Source organism: Homo sapiens, chromosome 22, assembly GCF_000001405.40.
Source record: "Homo sapiens chromosome 22, GRCh38.p14 Primary Assembly".
Lineage (NCBI taxonomy): Eukaryota > Metazoa > Chordata > Mammalia > Primates > Hominidae > Homo > Homo sapiens.
The window spans coordinates 49,854,501-49,870,860 of NC_000022.11; the positions used below are offsets into that span (position 1 = coordinate 49,854,501).

Consider the following 16,360-nt stretch of genomic DNA (forward strand, 5'->3'; position numbering starts at 1 on the left):
CTGGGGATGACCGTTCACATTTAATGAATAAAAATGTAACTTGCCTTGCGAACCATAATTTCAAATGTTTTTCGACTGCAGTGGTTTTCCTACACCCAAATGAGCTCGCAGTCAGTTTTGTTTCTTCTTTTGTCCCGTTGTGTGGCCCACACCGCCTTCGTTGCTAAGAGAATCGCAGCCCCTCGGGCTCCCTTCTGCGCCTTTCTATTCCGGGTGGCCCTGGTAGACCCGGGCACCTCTGTGGAAACACGTCCCGGCCAAGCTGAGCCGTCAGAAGCTTCTGTTGGTGTTCTCGTGTTGGTCGAAAGGGAAGTTATTTATTTTGAAGTTAACTCTGATCAGATTACGTTTTTAGAAATCCATTCAGACCTCATAGTGAGGCCAGTTTGGTAAAGCAAGGGCATCCTGCGACTTTTTACACAGAAATGTTTTTTATTTTTTCTGTGTATGTCATTCATAGTGACAAAATTGAGGCTAGGAAGGATTTGGTTGGGATTTTTTTTTAAGTGCTATGAATAAGCCACATTTTGATTATGAATTAATTGCAATTACTAAACAAAGTTACTTTGCAAGAGGAAAGTTTACAGGAGTTTGATTCCATACTCCGAGGGTTTCCAATGGGACGTCCGTACAAGGCTGCACACTTCCCGTAGTCCTTAAACGGATTATATCTGCTTGTCATGATTGGCTTTTTTTCAAGAAAAGATCTAGCACAAGTTAAGAGAGATTCTGTGAATCTTGAAAAAGCTTCAGAGGCCCGGTCTTTGAGGTGAGGACACAGTTAATCTATATGGAAAGAAACCTAAGACTTTTAGTCCACTTGACAGGTGGTTACAGGGTCTCCCCCAACACACACTCTTGTCCAGGTAATTCCTGAATAAGGTGGTTGATGTTGTTGGATGTAAAACCTCTGCTCTTTAAGGTTACCTCCTCCCCAACCCCCTCCACACACACAGTGAGTAACTCAGCTGTGCAAAGTATGTCCATAACACCTTGCAGAAAGACTAAAAAAATTACTAGGGGAGCGGACTGACTTCTGTGTGTGTGCAGAGGAGCTGAGAAGCAGCTTCTTTAGCGAAAGGTGTGTGTGTGTGTGTGTCTCAGATCCTTGGTGAGGAGCCCTGGGGAGTGGACTCCTGGCGGCATGAGGAGCAGGAAGTGACCGTGGTCAGTGCCGTCCTTCACTTTGTTTTGCGTTTTTTTCTTTGCCTGGCTTTAGCTTCTGGTCTCATTCTCTTTGGTGTGGTGGTTGTCTTTTGAGAGGAGGGAGCAGGTGAAACAGCTGGGCGTGGCTTTGCCCAGCCCTGGGGTAGAGGCCAAGCTGGCCCTTCCTTACCAACGTTGTTTCCTTCACTGTTTAAATCTCAGGACCTGAGAATGTACCTATAGGAATTGCTCTTATTTACATTTGGCTGTGTAAGAAAGTCACTGTGCCTTTAGCCCGTGACACCCCTTAGCGGTTTGGTTTTGGCTTTCTCTTTTAGTGTCTGTGGATTCCAGCAGCTCTCTGGCTTCAGCCCTTTCAAGGATTCGGGCCTCTCTGCATCCCAGCCTTCCAGGCCCTTCTGCTCCCCACTTTTTAGCACCTAGGTTTTTCTACATTCTGCAGTACCTCAGATCCCTTCCTTGGTCATCACTGGATATGTGCTTTTGTAGTTCAAATTCTGGGAGGCATTGTTAGGAATAAAATAAGCTCTTTGCCATTTCTGAGGCGGAGGGGAGCAGGAGAGACAGAGGTGCTTGCCTCTCTGCCTGCTGGGGCCATGGTGGTTTTCAAAGAAGGCCCTGGCCGTAGGGAACATGGTGGTGGTGAGGAGCAGCGTAAACCAGAGAAAAAGGCTCAGTAAGTGCTTCAAGGAGAAACACCGGCAGGTGAGAGCAGGGGTAATCCCAGTTTCTCAGGAAAGCATGCTCCGGAGACCTCATAGGGAGAGGAGGTTGCCCTGAAGGGTCTGGGGGCGATGGCGGAAGCCCCAGGAGAGCATTGTCCATGAGGTGCAGAGGCAGCCTCACGGCATCCCAGTGCGTACCTCCTGCCCGGCCCAAGCGCCTGCTGCTGAAGCCGCCTCCCAGCTCCCCCGGGTTGTTTCGGAATTCAGGGGACATGCAGCCTAAATGACCCACACTGGAATCCCGGCCGGCTTCCCATCCCTCGTTCTAGGTGAAGGCCGCGCTGGAATCCCGGCCGGCTTCCCATCCCTCGTTCTAGGTGAAGGCCGCGCTGGAATCCCGGCCGGCTTCCCACCTCTCGTTCTAGGTGAAGGCCGCGCTGGAATCCCGGCCGGCTTCCCACCCCTCGTTCTAGGTGAAGGCCGCGCTGGAATCCCGGCCGGCTTCCCACCCCTCGTTCTAGGTGAAGGCCGCGCTGCAATGCCAGCCAGCTTCCCACCTCATTCTAGGTGAAGGCTTTTCAGCAGCCATGGCCCATGTCTTTCCCAGCAAACTCTGTGTGCAATAGAAACAGCTGATGCTGGCCTGGCCCTGGGGATGGGGTTGTGACTGCTGCAGCCCCCTACCTGATTAGGGTCGGGAGGACCTGGCCCCCCGCCCTTCCTGCCTTGCCACCTCCACAGACAAACCCTGAGGGGCTGACTTCCTCCAAAGCTGCTCCTCATCGAGGCCCACCTGGTGGTCTCTGCTCCACCTGTTTGCTGCAGGGAGCAGGGTCGGGAGCATGTGCATTTCGGAGAGCTCTGGTTGCTCCGTCATAGAAGCCATGCTCCACATCCTGTAAGTGAGAGACTCCCCAGCAGCGTTCAGCCATAGCTGCGATGTCAGGCCTGTCACTAGTGGGACTGCCCGGACCCCCAAGGTATGGGTACACGGCGAGGGTGCTGGTGTTAAATACAGGGGACCCACAAAACCACCTAGCAGAACAATCCACATGACCCTGTCGTGTGACCCAGAACATTTCAGGGATGGAACACGGACCAGCTGACCTTAGCGTGGTCGCTGGCTTGCTCTGGAAGGTGCCGTTTCCAAGACGCCCTTACCTGGGTTCCTGAGCACGTCTGACAGAGCAGCTCTGACTCCGGGTTTCTGGAGTCAGACCCCTTGCCACTGTCTTTGACCTTTAGCTTTGGGTTCCCCTTCTCAGTTTGTTTGTTTGTTTGTTTATTCTCACTCTGTCACTCAGGCTGGAGTGCAGTGTTACAATCTCGGCTCACTGCAACCTCTGTCTCCTGGATTCAAGTGATTCTGCTGCCTTAGCTCCCTGAGTAGCTGGAATTACAGGCACCCGCCACCGCACTCAGCTAATTTTTGTTTGTTTTTTGAGATGGAATCTTGCTCTGTCACCCAGGCTGGAGTGCAATGGCACAATCTCAGCTCCCTGCAACCTCTACCTCCCAGGTTAAAGCGATTCTCCTTCCTCAGTCTCCTGAGTAGCTGGGATTACAATAGGCGTGCGCCACCGTGCCCGGTTAATTTTTTTTTGCATTTTTAGTAGAGACGGGGTTTCACCATGTTGGCCAGGGTGGTCTCGATCTCCTGATCTCGTGATCCGTCCACCTTGGCCTCCCAAAGTGCCAGGACAGGACTACAGGCGTGAGCCACCGCGCCCAGCCAGTTTTTGTATTTTTAGTAGAGATGGGCTGTCACCATGTTGGCCAGGCTGGTCTCAAACTCCTGACCTTAGGTGATCCACCCGCCTTTGCCTCCCAAAGGGCTGGGATTACAGGCGTGAGCCACCGTGCCCGGCCCCCTTCTCAGTTTAGCCCAGACCTGGATGTTGGCTTCTGTGTGGGCAGCTGTTGTGAGCCATGGCTCCTGCTGGAATTTGTGGCAGTTGATGCTGCTGTGCACCCCCAGAATAGGTGAAGGCTACTCAGGTGTAGCCCCGATGGTAGTTTATGTCCTCAGGAGGAGAAACTGCCATGTCCCCGTCTGAACCAGGCCCGGAGTCTTGATGCATAGCTCTTTGCCTCCCTGGGTATACTCGACAGCTTGTTGAGAGTGCGTGTGCTCTGAGTTGAACACGAATATATTTCTGTTGTTTGAAGGTTATTATAAAGTTTCTAACTTACAGAGTTGGCACTCCTACGTCCCTTGCCCCCAGCTGGAGCTACCGTGACTGCCACCAGCTGCCACCTGGCACGTGCTGAACTGTCTTGAAGGAAACTGCAGATATCTGGACACTTCTCTAAGTGTTCTTTCTCCTAAGAAAGGGAAAGGGACATTCTACTGTCTAATGACAGTCGCGTCATCGATGGCGTCTACAAAACGTGACTGTGTCCCTTGGCGTCATCCAGTAGCCAGTCCACGGTCTGAAGTTGTCCCCCAACGTCTTTACTAGCTGTTTTTCCCAACCAGAATCGAGTACAGGGCCACGTGTCACAGTGGCTGTGAGGTCTCTTTGCGTTCCGGTGCCCCCGGAGCACCCCCTGTGATCTGGCGGTGGGAGGCCTGATTTGATACAGGGGCACGTTTGGGGCGCAGGTGATGCTGTGTGCTGCACTGTGGGCGGAGGCTGTCCCATGAGGACGGATGCGACTTTGCTCACTGGCCCTTTAAATTGTGTCCCTGCCCCCCACAGTTGGCGAGTTAGATGAGGGGGTGTCTCGGGGTGTGTGGACGCTCTGCTCCCATCAGACCTCCACATGCTGTTTGCTGGTCTCCCCAGAACCTGTGGGCAGTGGCACCTTGGCTTTAGTATGCTGTTGTTCTTTTTTTCTTTATTTTTGTCTGTGTTTCCCTTCTTTGTTACGTCTTAGAAAATGCTGAGTTCTTTCTCTTTATTACCAATTCTTAGCGGAAGATGGTCTAGTAGACACCTCTGTGGGGGCAAATTTTTACTTTTCCTTTGTCTTCCTTGAGTATCAAGGTGGACTAGTGGATTTTATTTATTCCATGTCATAATCTAGTAAAGCCTTTTGTTTTGTGATGCTCAAATAGCTATAAATGTGACTAGTTGGGAGCCCCTTCCAAGCTGGCCCCTGTGTCCTTTTCACTCCATACGTGGTCCTGGGAATGCATCCTTTCTGGCCCAGTGTCCCAGGCTCACGGTGATGTCTTTCCCAGGCCTGCGTCAGCTGCTTCTCCACAGCGCCTGGGTTCCTTTTAGTGCAGAAAGGCATCTGGACACCGAGGTCCAGGCCATAGACGTAGTCATTGTGCTTGTCTGTTATTGCTTAATGCCCTGTTCGCGGACACAGCTAGAAAATATGTATTTAAAACATTGTGAGTTCAGTCAATTTGAATTATAGTTAAAATTAATTTTAATTTTCATTAAAATTATGTAGTTTTGCGGGGTGTGGTGGCTCACACCTGTAATCTCAGCACTTTGGGAGGCTGAGGTGGGGAGACCACTTGAGCTCAGGAGTTCCAGACCAGTCTAGGCAGCGTGGCAGAACCCCATCTTTACAAAAACATACAGAAATCAGCTGGGCATGATGGTATGTGCCTGGAGTTCCAGCTACTCAGGAGGCTGAGATGGGAGGATCACTTGAGCTCAGGAGTTCCAGACCAGTCTAGGCAGCATGGCAGAACCCCATCTTTACAAAAACATACAGAAATCAGCCGGGCATGATGGTATGCGCCTGGAGTTCCAGCTACTCAGGAGGCTGAGGTGGGAGGATCACTTGAGCTCAGGAGTTCCAGACCAGTCTAGGCAGCATGGCAGAACCCCATCTTTACAAAAACATACAGAAATCAGCCGGGCATGATGGTATGTGCCTGGAGTTCCAGCTACTCAGGAGGCTGAGGTGGGAGGATCACTTGAGCCTGGGAGGTTGAGGCTGTGGTAAGCTGCAATGACGTCACTGCACTGCTGCCTGGGCGACAGAGTGAGACCCTGTATCAAAAACAAAACAAAACAAAACAAAAAATACATATATATAGTTTTACTTAATTTCTTTGATTCTTAAATTATATGTTATTCTGAAAAATCTTAATAATATCATTGGCCTTGTTTTGTGCTAAAATGTGCATACAGTAGGTTGTAGAATTACAATACCACTCCTGTAAGAAAACTGCTTAGTTAACTTTGCAGGTTTTTGTTGAGTTCTTTTTGTCCTTAGTTATCTTCCACTTTGGATGAATAAAGTGCTGTATTTTAAAGTTCCTTGACAAATACTCTTGTTTTATTTTTTATTTTATTTATTTTTCCCAAGAAAGAAATAAGACAAATATTATTTTCTCTGGTTATGTTGCCCATTTGTTTCAGATCATTTTTAGATTTAGGATTTTTTACAAATTTTATGTACAAAATAATTACCTGTTATAAAGGTCAGAACTACATAAAAGCTACCTTTCTTATCCCCACCACTCTTCTAAGCAACCTTTTTTTTTTTTTTTTTGAGACAGAGTCTTGCTCTGTTGCCCAGGCTGGAGTGCAGTGGCTCGATCTTGGCTCACTGCATCCTCGGCCTTCCGGGTTCAAGCAATTCTCCTGCCTCAGCCTCCCGAGTAGCTGGGACTACAGGCGCCCACCACCACGCCCAGCTAATTTTTTGTACTTTAGTAGAGATGGGGTTTCACTATGTTGCCCAGGCTGGTCTCGATCTGAGCTCAGGCATTCCACCCACCTCGGCCTCCCAAAGTGCTGGGATAATGGGCATGAGCCACCATGCCCGGCCTAGGCAACGCTTTTTACTTCTGCTACGTCCTGTAAAAGTAAGCAAAACACACCCACAACTCATTTCCCCTCCTGTCTTTCACAAAAGTTAGCATGGGCTGTTGACACTGTGTGTGTCTGGTTTTTCTTGTTTGTTTGTTATGAGATGGAGTCTCGCTCTGGATTCAAGTGATTCTTGTGCCTCAGCCTCCTGAGTAGCTGGGACTACAGGCACCCGCCACCACGCCCAGCTAATTTTTATATTTTTAGTAGAGATGGGGTTTCACTGTGTTGGCCAGGCTGGCCTCAAACTCTTGGCTGCAAATGATCTGCCTGCCTCAGTCTCTCAAAGTGGTGGGATTACAGATGTGAGCCACCACACCTGACCTGTTTGTTTTGAGATAGCGTCTGGCTCTGTTGCCCAGGCTGGAGTGCAGTGGCCTGATCTTGGCTTACCGCAGCCTCGACCTCACGGGCTCAAGTGATTTTCTCACTGTACCCTCCTGAGTAGCTGGGACTACAGGCGCATGCCACCATGCCAGCTGATTTTTTTCAAATTTTTTGTAGAGATGGGAGTCTCACTATGTTACCCAGGCTGGTCTTGAACTCTTGGGCTCAAACGATTTACCTGCCTTGGCCTCCCAAAGTGCTGGGATTACAGGCGTGAGCTGCCGTGGCTGGCCCCTGCGTGTCTGGTTTTTCTGCTCAGCACATGTATGAATGTGTGGGTCCTATTGACGGGCTCTGATCCTTTGCCGTGGGATGCCGCTGTGACTGACGTTGCCGTGTGTTGCATTTTTTGTGTTTCTGGTGAGGACTGTCTTCAGGTCTGTTCGTAGCGTGTGGTTGCTGGGTGGGAGGATACATGTAATTTTGGTGAGTGCTTCCAAGTTCCCCCGCACAGGCCTGCACCCTGTCAGCACTGTGGGAGAGGGCCTGACCAACAGAGGGCATTACTAAGCATTTGGATTTTTGCCAGGATGGTAGGGTGAGAAGGGGTATCTTGAACGGGTTTTCATTTAATTTGCTTCAATCTGAATGTGAAAAATGAAAAAACTGTGCTTTACTGAATTGGATGTAGCACGGAGCAGTTGAGATCATTGAATGCAAGTGGCTCATTTTGTTAGTAAGTCCCCGAGGGCGGTTGGCCCTGTGCGTGGAACCTATACGGAGCGGCCCCAACGCTTCTGCCGCAAAGTCGCTTGGAAGGTGGTTTCTCTGTCTTTCTTATTTTTTGTGCGGCGGAGGCCTTACTTTTTTGCTGAGACTGGAATTGATCTCCTGTGCTCAAGTCTCTCACCGTGGCCTGCAAGTAGCTGGGACTACGGGCGTAAGCCACTGCGCCCAGCCTAGTGTAGCTTTATAAGTGTGTTTTTAAACCTTTTTTATTTTAAAGTGTGGCACAGATACAGAAACTGAATAAAATCAGTGTCTAGCGTAATGAGTCATATGATAAGATGGACACAGTTGTAACTGGTGCTTGGGTCAAGAGGTGCTTGCCAGCTTCCAGAGCCCCTGTGCGTGCCGCCCCAGCCCCTCCCAGCAGAGGCTGCCTCAATCTTACTGTTACAGCAGCTACTTCCTTATTCTTTGTTGTTTTGACTGAACTGAGTACCTCTAAATATTAGTTAAGTTTTTCCTTTTTTTTTTTTTTTTTTTTTTTTTTAGACTTAAGTCTTGCTCTGTCGCCCAGGCTGGAGTGCAGTGTCGTGATCTCGGCTCACTGCAACCTCTGCCTCTTGGGTTCAAGCAATTCTCCTGCCTCAGTTTCCTGAGTAACTGGGATTACAGGTGCCCACCACCACGCCTGGCTAATTTTTGTAGTTTTAGTAGAGACAGGGTTTCACCCTGTTAGTCAGGCTGGTCTCGAACTCCTGACCTTAGGTGATCCACCTGCCTCAGCCTCCCAAAATGCTGGGATTACAGGTGTGAGCCACCGCACCCGGCCAGCCTTTCAGTCTGAATCTACAGGTTACATTATCCACCCCACCTCCCGTGGAAGTATTTTCTGAGGTAACTTGGTGGTTGGACTCGTGCATCTCACGGTCTAGATTTTGCTGGCTGCATTCTTCTGGAGAGGCCCAGTGTGTTCCTCTATCCTTTGGTTTCTTGTAGATTGTGTTTGGTTGGTTGGTTGGTTGGTTGGTTTTGAGGCAGGGTCTTGCTTTGTGGCCCAGGATGGAGTGCAGTGGTGCTCCCGGGCTCAAGTGATTTTCCCACCTCAGCCTCCCTAATAACTGGGACCACAGGCACGCATCACCACACCCAGCTAAGTTTTAAAAATTTTTTTGTAGGCCGGGTGTGGTGGCTCACGCCTGTAATCCCAGCACTTTGGGAGGCCGAGGCAGGCGGATCACGAGGTCAAGAGATTGATACCATCCTGGCCAACATGGTGAAACCACGTCTCTACTAAAAATACAAAAATTAGCTGGGCGTGGTGGCGAGTGCCTGTAATCCCAGCTGCTCAGGAGGCTGAGGCAGGAGAATTGCTTGAACCGGGGAGGCGGAGGTTGCGGTGAGCTGAGATCGCGCCACCGCACTCCAGCCTGGGGACAGAGCGAGACTCCGTCTCAAAAAAAAAAAAAAAAAGTGTGATGTTCTGGCTGAGTTATTGCTTCTTTATGTAGTAGATGAACTATTAAAGATAAACCTCTTCTTATCCACTCTCTGGTGTTATAGTTCATGGAGAAAACTGAAGATAAATGCCTGATTCTTTTTTTAAATTCATCAGTTTTCACAATGATGAATCATTTTCCTATCAGCCTCCAGAGGCGACCAGTTAGGGATTTGATGTTGGTATTGGTGAACTAATGAATTTAAACATATTTGGGATGTTAAATTCTGTCCTCTTTGGACAGTGAGAGCCCCTACAAGCTGGCTCCTGGATCCTTTTGACATCATTCCTGAACTCTCTCAGAGGTTTCTGGCTGTCTGATATGTTCTGTGCTCATCTTGTATTTTTCCGGCTCCAGACCTGAAATAAGCCATTTCTTCAGCTCTGGTTTCTTTTAAGGGCTTGGAAGTTTCAAAACCACAGTCTGCATGTGACAGGTGCTCACTGCTGTTGGGTTGGCCGCTGGTTCTAGGCCTCTGCTGGAGTGTGTGATCTGCTTTCTGACGGCAGGGCGTTCACATGGGTGTGCTTTAATCTTACGTCTCCGTCCTCTTTTTCCACTGAGAGTGCTGGTCTCAAGGACAGTGGAGATGAGAGAATTGGAATATCGCATAATGTCTCATCTGTTTTATCTCTTGCTACAAACATCACAATCTCAAAATAACAATGGCAGTACAACTGCCACCTATATCATTACTGAAAACAGTGAAGATATTTTTTGCCTAAGTCTTCCCATTCTGTGTAGTTATGCAGGGTCTCAACTACAGAGTGTGTAGCCATTACGTACTACAGATGCTTCGCAACTCAGGACACGGCCACGTCCGATAAACCCATCAAAGTCGAAAATGCACTTAATACCTGATTGGAGCCTGGGCATGGTGGCTTACGCCTATAATCCCAGCACTTTGGGAGGTTGAGGTGGGAGGATCACTTGAGCCTGGGAGTTTGAGACCAGCCTCAGCAACCTAGTGAGACCCCCTCTCTACAAAAAATGTTTTAAAATATTAGCCAGGTGTGGTGACACTCAGGTGTAGTTCCAGCTACTCAGGAGGCTGAGGCGGGAGGATTGCTTGGGCCCAGGAGTTTGAGGCTACAGTGAGCTGAGATTGTGTACTGCACTCCAGCCTGAGCGCCAGAGTGAGACCCTGTCTCCAAAAAAAAAAAAAAAAAAAGCCCTGATTAAACCGTCGTAGAGCTGAAAGATTGCGAGTCAAACCATCGATGAAGTTCAGATGCTCCTTGATTGACCATGGGGTTCTATCCCAGCAAGCCCCCCCCCCCCCCCGTGAAGTCAGAAACCACGGAGTCCAGCTATTGTGCTGTGTTTCTCCCCTGCAAACCCTTATTCAGTCCTAGCTCTGCAAGTGACGGCAGCCCCGGGTCTCACTAAGGGCAGGGGTGTGTTCTGAGAAATGCGTTACTCAGCGATGTTGTCGTTGTGTGAACCTCATAGAGTGCACCTACACAAACCCAGATGGTATAACCTGTCACTCCGAGGCTGCAACTCTGCACAGCAGTTACTACACTGAAGCCTGTAGGCATTTGTAACACCGTGGCAAGTATTTGTGTGTCCAAACAGAAAAGGCACAGTAAACAGATGGTGTCGTTATCTTATGTAGCCACTGTGGGGTGCGCTGCTCTTTGCCGAGTGAGGTGTTGCTGTGCAGCACGTGACTGTGTGTGTTAAATGCTTACACGGGGGCCGGGCGCAGTGGCTCACGCCTCTAATCCCAGCACTTCGGGGGCTAAGGCGGGCGGAACTCCTGAGTTCAGGAGTTCGAGACCCGCCTGGCCAACATGGTGAAACCCCGTCTCTATTAAAATACAAAAAAAAAAAAATAATAACCCGTCTCTATTAAAATACAGGTGTGGTGGCAGGCACCTGTAATCCCAGCTACTCAGGAGGCTGAGGCAGGAGAATGGCTTAAACCCGGGAGGCAGAGGGTGCAGTGAGCAGAGATCACACCACTGCACTCCAGTCTGGGCGACAGAGTGGACAAAAATAAAAATAAATGCTCACATTGGGTCCTCATGTTTCTGTTGTGTTTTGGTTGAGGTTTGCTCTCCGGTAGATCTCTCAGGAAGGACTCATGGAACAAGATGTCTTGACTTCCTGCATCTTGATAGTAGTTTTTCTGCATTCATTGTGCTCGAAGGTCAGTTTGGCTTAGTATAAAATCCTTGGTTCACATTTTCTTTTTTTTTTTTTTCCCTTTAATTTTTTGTAGAGCTGGGGGTCTCACTATATTGCCCAGGCTGGTCTCAAACTCCCAGCTTCAAGCAGCCCTCCCGCCTCCACCTCCCGATGCTGATTATACGCGTGGGCCACTGTGCCTGGCTAGTTCACTTTTTTCCTTGAATGTCTTAACTATGTTATTCTATGGTCTTCTAGGATAAAGCATTGCTGTCAAAATCATGACAGTTTTTTCTTTCCAAGTGACTTTGTACTTTGCCTGAGAGCCCAAAGGATTTAAGTCTAGTAATTTTGTTAGAAAATAAATTAGTGTTATTAGTTGAGGATGGATTTTCTCAGTCCCTTTCACTATGTGGCTTGACAATTTCTAATTCAGGAAAGGTTTTTAAGTGTTTAGTATTCTGTTCTCTTGCCCTGTCCCCTCCTGTTTCTGGGGTGGCTGTTCTGATTGTACATATGTTGGATCTTCTTTACGTGTCTTTTAAATTGGTCCGTTTCTCTTGAGTCTTTTTTAATCCCCTCATTTCTTTTTCATTAAAAAAAATTGTGTTTCCCTTTCATTTATCTTAAGCTGTCATCTGTGGAGTTTGTTCTCCTGTTTCTTCTTTTTTAGGTCTTCATTCTTGAAGTCATATTTTACTTTTATTTTTAGTGTTTTTGTGGGACCTATAATCTCACATCAGAATTTTTCTATCCTGATTTATGTTGTTTCTTTATATCATTTTCTTAATTTCTTTAGTTTCTTTGCAAGAGGAAGTTACCGTTTTCATTTAATCTGAGGTCACATTTTTCTGTGAGCATATTTCGTTATCTGCAGTGATGTTTTTCTGCTCTTTAGTTTTTCTCATACCCTTCTGTGAGATGTGACAGAATTCTTTTCTGTTGCCTATTATATTAGTTTTCTAGTGCTGCTTTAACAAATTACCACAAACCGAGTGGCTTCACACAAACGGAAATTAGGAATCTGAAATCTGAGATGGGTCTCACTGGGCTAAATCAAGATGCTGGCGGCTCTTGAACGGTGGCTCTCGGCAAATGCACGTTCTTACCTCTTGCGCCTTCAGGAGGTCACCTGCCTTCCTTGGCTTGCATTGGTTTGGTTTGCTGTTTTTTCTAGTGTTTTCTTTTAGGTGAGTACTTTATTGACTGGAGGTCATCTTTTCTAACACAGGTATGTAGAGCTTTCAGTTTCTTGCTAACCACCACTTCAGCTGCATCTCATCCATTTGGTGGGTTGTATTTTTATTGTCGTTCAGTTGAAAACACTTTCCAGTTTACCTCACGGTTTGTTTTTCACCCGTGAGTTATTTAGAATTGTATTTTGTTTTCAAATAATTGCTTATTTCCCAGATTTCTTTCTTTTGCTTTATAATTTAACTCCATTGTGTTTAGAGGACTTGTATAGTTTCAGTCCTTTTGAAATGCCCAACGCGTATGTTATGGGCCAGCATGTGGTCTATACTGTGGGAGGTTCCCTGGGCCCCTGAAGAAGCGTGTGCCAGGCGGCGGTGGGAGCGGCGGTTGGGGAGGCACTGCGGTGCATCCACTGGGTCAGTTGGCTGACGGTATTGCTCAAGTCTTCTCTGTTCTCGCTGACTTTCTGTCTAGTTCTGGGTGGCCTGGTAGGCCCAGCAGCTTCTCTTCATGGGAGTTTTTGCCCCAGAAAGAAGTGTCAGCTGTTTTGTTTTGCCCCAGATCGGACCTTGGACCCTGACCCTCCTCTGCTTTGCAGATGTGCAGAAAGTCACCCACCTCAGCAGCTTGGTTCTGTGGGCCGTCCAGTGATACCTGTTGGCTACTTGGGGATGCTCGGTGTATCACACGCTTGATGACATCTTTCTTTTCCAGCTGCCAGATCTAATACCATCTAGGCCTTGTAATACTGACTGCAAGGGGGCTTCCATCCTGATACACCCATCCATCATCAATTAAAAATATCTTCAGTGGAAAATGCATTTAATTCACCTGATGTGCCGAGCATCATAGCTTAGTCCAGCCCCCCTCAAATGTGCTCAGACACTTACATGAGCCCACAGTTGGGCAGAATCACCTGACACAAAGCCTGTTTTGTCATAAAGTGTTGAATATCTCATGTAAGAGTGTCACACCGTATGTTGTTAGCCTAGGAAAAGATCAACATTCAGAATTCAAAGTACAGTTTGTACTGAATGCCAGTGGCTTTCACACCATCGTAAAGTTGCAGGTTCGTAGGTTGAACCGTCATTAAATCAGGGACCCACTTACCCATATTCATGGTTTGTCCCTTCCACTTACATTTGTTGGTTAACGGAAAGACCTTGTCAGTCTTCTTTTTTGTTGTTGTTGATAACATCAGAGGATTGTGGTTTTACTGTTCTAGTTTTCCTTTTATTGAGAGATTTGGGGAAACTAAAAAATAAAATATAGGCAGTGTTACAAGCAAACAAATGAGCTTACTATATTTCAAATGAATAAAATAACTACACTTGAGGAAGGAAGCTGGCTGAGGCTGGTGGATCACCCAGGATCAGGAGTTCGACACCAGCCTGGGCAACATGGTGAAACCCCATCTCCACAAAAAATGCAAAAAATTAACTGGGTGGTGGCACACACCTGTCATCCCAGCTACTGAGGAGGCTGAGGTGGGAGGATTACTTGAGCTCATGAGGCGGAGGTTGCAGTGAGCCAAGATTGTGCCACTGCACTCTAGCCTGGGCAACAGAGCGAGACTGTCTCTTCCAACAAAAAAGAAAAATGAAAACTGACCCAAGAAACTCTTGGACACGATGTGATTATAAACCTCCAAGTAAAAAGATAAAAATTATAAATGAATTGTGATCTCCAGCTAGAAGGCTTGTTTTCTTGGTGGCCTGGGTTAGTAATTCTGCAGCTACTTCGTGCATGTGTTGTAGGGTTGAGCAAATGAGGAAATCTGCCAGGAGGGTGGGAGCCCAGCCTCCCAGAGGTGGATTGAAACGTCACGGATGCAGGCCGGGCGCAATGGCTCACACCTGTAATCCCAGCACTTTGGGAGGCCAAGGCAGGCGGATCACCTGAGATTGGGAGTTTGAGACCAGCCTGACCAACATGGAGAAACTCTGTCTCTACTAAAAATACAAAAAAAAAAAAAAAAATTAGCTGGGTGTGATGGTGTATGCCTGTAATCCGAGCTGCTTGTGAGACTGAGGCAGGAGAATCACTTGAACCCAGGAGGCGGAGGTTGGGTGAGTCGAGATCATGCCATTGCACTTCAGCCTGGGCAACAAGAGCAAAACTGTCTCAAAAAAAAAAAAAAAAGAAAAATCACGGTTGTGGAAAGGGGGATGCTCGGTCTTGTGATCTCAGGGTCAGGGCAGAGTTGGCGGTGTCAGTGTGAAGTTGTGGCTTTGATTCACGTACACACATGCATGTTGGTGTGTGTGTTTATGGGTTCTAGTGCTTCCGCTGGAAGGGCCTAAAGGCAGAGGCACCCGTAACAGTGAGTGCACGGCTGCCTACCTCGTACCCGCGTGGTGGTTATCCACCTCGGGCCTTTTTGGCAGCGCTCGTCCTCCAGACCAGATTATTTCATCTCTGACTGGAGAACACTCTTGCGTGGACTTTAGTGTGGGTCACTTAGAGACACGTTCTGTGTTTGGTTTGTCTGATGGTGTTTTTTAGTTCCTGTTTATTCCTCAGGGAATATTTGTACTGCTTACTGAATTCTGGTTTGGCTCTCATTTTTCACAGCTTTGAAGATGTCATTCCTCTGTCTCCTGATTTACATTGTTTCTCTTAAAAAGTCAGCAGTGTATCTCATTGGTTTTTTTCTTAAAATAGCTTTCATGGAAATAATCTGATATACGTAAAAGTGGAAAGGGTAGCATAATAAACCCTGTGCACGCATCCCCAGCTTCAGAATTACCAGTTCACAGCCATTCCCATTTCATCTGTGTCCTCCACTCACTTTTTAAAAAGTTTTGTTTTTAAAAAGAATTTCAACTTTGATTTTAGATTCATCAGGCACATGTGCAGGTTCACGACATGGTATATTGCGTGATGCTGAGTTTGGGATAAGAATGATCGTCGCCCAGATCGTGAGCATGGTACTCAATAGGTTGTTTTTCAGTCTTGTCCCCTCCTCCCTTCCTCCCTCCCTCACTCCTCACTCTCGCAGTCCCAGTGCCTGTGGTTCTCATCTTTATGTCCCTGTGTACCACATGCTTAGCTCCCACTGATAGGTGAGAACATGTGGTATCCGGTTTTCTGTTCCTGTGTTTGTTCACTTAGGATGATGGTCTCCAGATGCATGCATGTTGCTGCAAGGGACATGATTTTGTTCTTTTTTATGGCTGTATAATATTCCATGGTGTGGATATACCACATTTTCCTTATCCAGTCCACCATTGCTAGGCACGTAGGTTGATTCCATGTCTTTGCTATTGTAAATAGTGCTGTGATGAACATACATGTGTACATGGGGTTTTTTTGTAGAATGATTTATTTCTTTGGGTACATACCTGGTAGTGGCATCACTGGGTCCAATGGTAGCTCTGTTTTTAGTTCTTTGAGAAGACTCCACACTGCTCTCCGCAGTGGCTGAACTCATTGACATCCCTGCCAGCAGTGCTTGAGTTTCCCTTTTCTCTGTAGCCTCTCCAGCATCTGTTATTTTTTTCTTTTTTTAATAAAAGCCATTGTGACGGGTGTGAGATGGTATCTCGTTGTGGTTTTGATTTGCACTTCTCTGATGACTGTTGATGTCGAGCATTTTTTCACGTCTGTTGGCCACTTTTATGTCTCCTTTCGAGAAGTATCTGTTCATGTCCTTTGCTTGCTTTTTAATGGGGTTATTTTATTTCTTGTTAAGCTTCTTATAGATTCTGGATTTCAGACCTTTGTCAGATGCATAGTTTGCAGATATTTTCTCTTATTCAGTGGGTTTTCTGTTTATTCTGTCGATGGTCTCCTTTTCTGTGATAGTTTCAGCTATGCAGAGGCTCTTTAGTTAGGTCCCAGTTGTCAATTTTTGTTTCTGTTA

At 47.3% G+C, this 16,360-nt stretch overlaps 2 protein-coding genes and 1 long non-coding RNA gene across 6 annotated transcripts in view, besides 2 other annotated features; 1 reads left to right on the forward strand and 2 right to left on the reverse strand.

Annotated features, from left to right (window-relative positions):
• The window catches only part of ZBED4 (zinc finger BED-type containing 4), a 37,231-nt gene that overhangs the window by 1,651 nt on the left and 19,220 nt on the right, over window positions 1-16,360 (forward strand). The gene's annotated exons all lie outside the window — the stretch shown is intronic.
• Window positions 2-3,156, reverse strand: LOC124905147 (uncharacterized). Its single transcript, XR_007068156.1, has 2 exons — window positions 2,994-3,156; window positions 2-786 (listed from the first exon to the last, which is right to left on the reverse strand). It is a non-coding gene; the product is annotated as an uncharacterized LOC124905147 (long non-coding RNA).
• Window positions 2,177-2,837: an enhancer, noted in NCBI's record as "H3K4me1 hESC enhancer chr22:50250325-50250985 (GRCh37/hg19 assembly coordinates)". NCBI's record gives its function as "activates a minimal SCP1, AML or CMV promoter by ChIP-STARR-seq in naive H9 embryonic stem cells {active_cell/tissue: H9 hESC(naive)}" and the evidence as "EXISTENCE:reporter gene assay evidence [ECO:0000049][PMID:30033119]".
• Window positions 4,440-4,977: an enhancer, noted in NCBI's record as "H3K27ac-H3K4me1 hESC enhancer chr22:50252588-50253125 (GRCh37/hg19 assembly coordinates)". NCBI's record gives its function as "activates a minimal SCP1, AML or CMV promoter by ChIP-STARR-seq in primed H9 embryonic stem cells {active_cell/tissue: H9 hESC(primed)}" and the evidence as "EXISTENCE:reporter gene assay evidence [ECO:0000049][PMID:30033119]".
• The window catches only part of ALG12 (ALG12 alpha-1,6-mannosyltransferase), a 59,128-nt gene continuing 47,578 nt past the window's right edge, over window positions 4,811-16,360 (reverse strand). Inside the window, exons 10-11 of one of the 2 annotated variants that reach the window (XM_017028937.2) lie at window positions 13,636-13,749; window positions 5,715-5,791 (exon numbers count right to left, since the gene is read on the reverse strand). In XM_017028937.2, coding sequence (XP_016884426.1) covers window positions 13,662-13,749 — 88 coding nt within the window. In that variant the 3' untranslated portion in view covers window positions 5,715-5,791; window positions 13,636-13,661. Of the gene's footprint in view, window positions 5,792-13,635; window positions 13,750-16,360 lie in introns of both variants that reach the window. The other variant, XM_017028936.2, reaches the window with a different exon arrangement.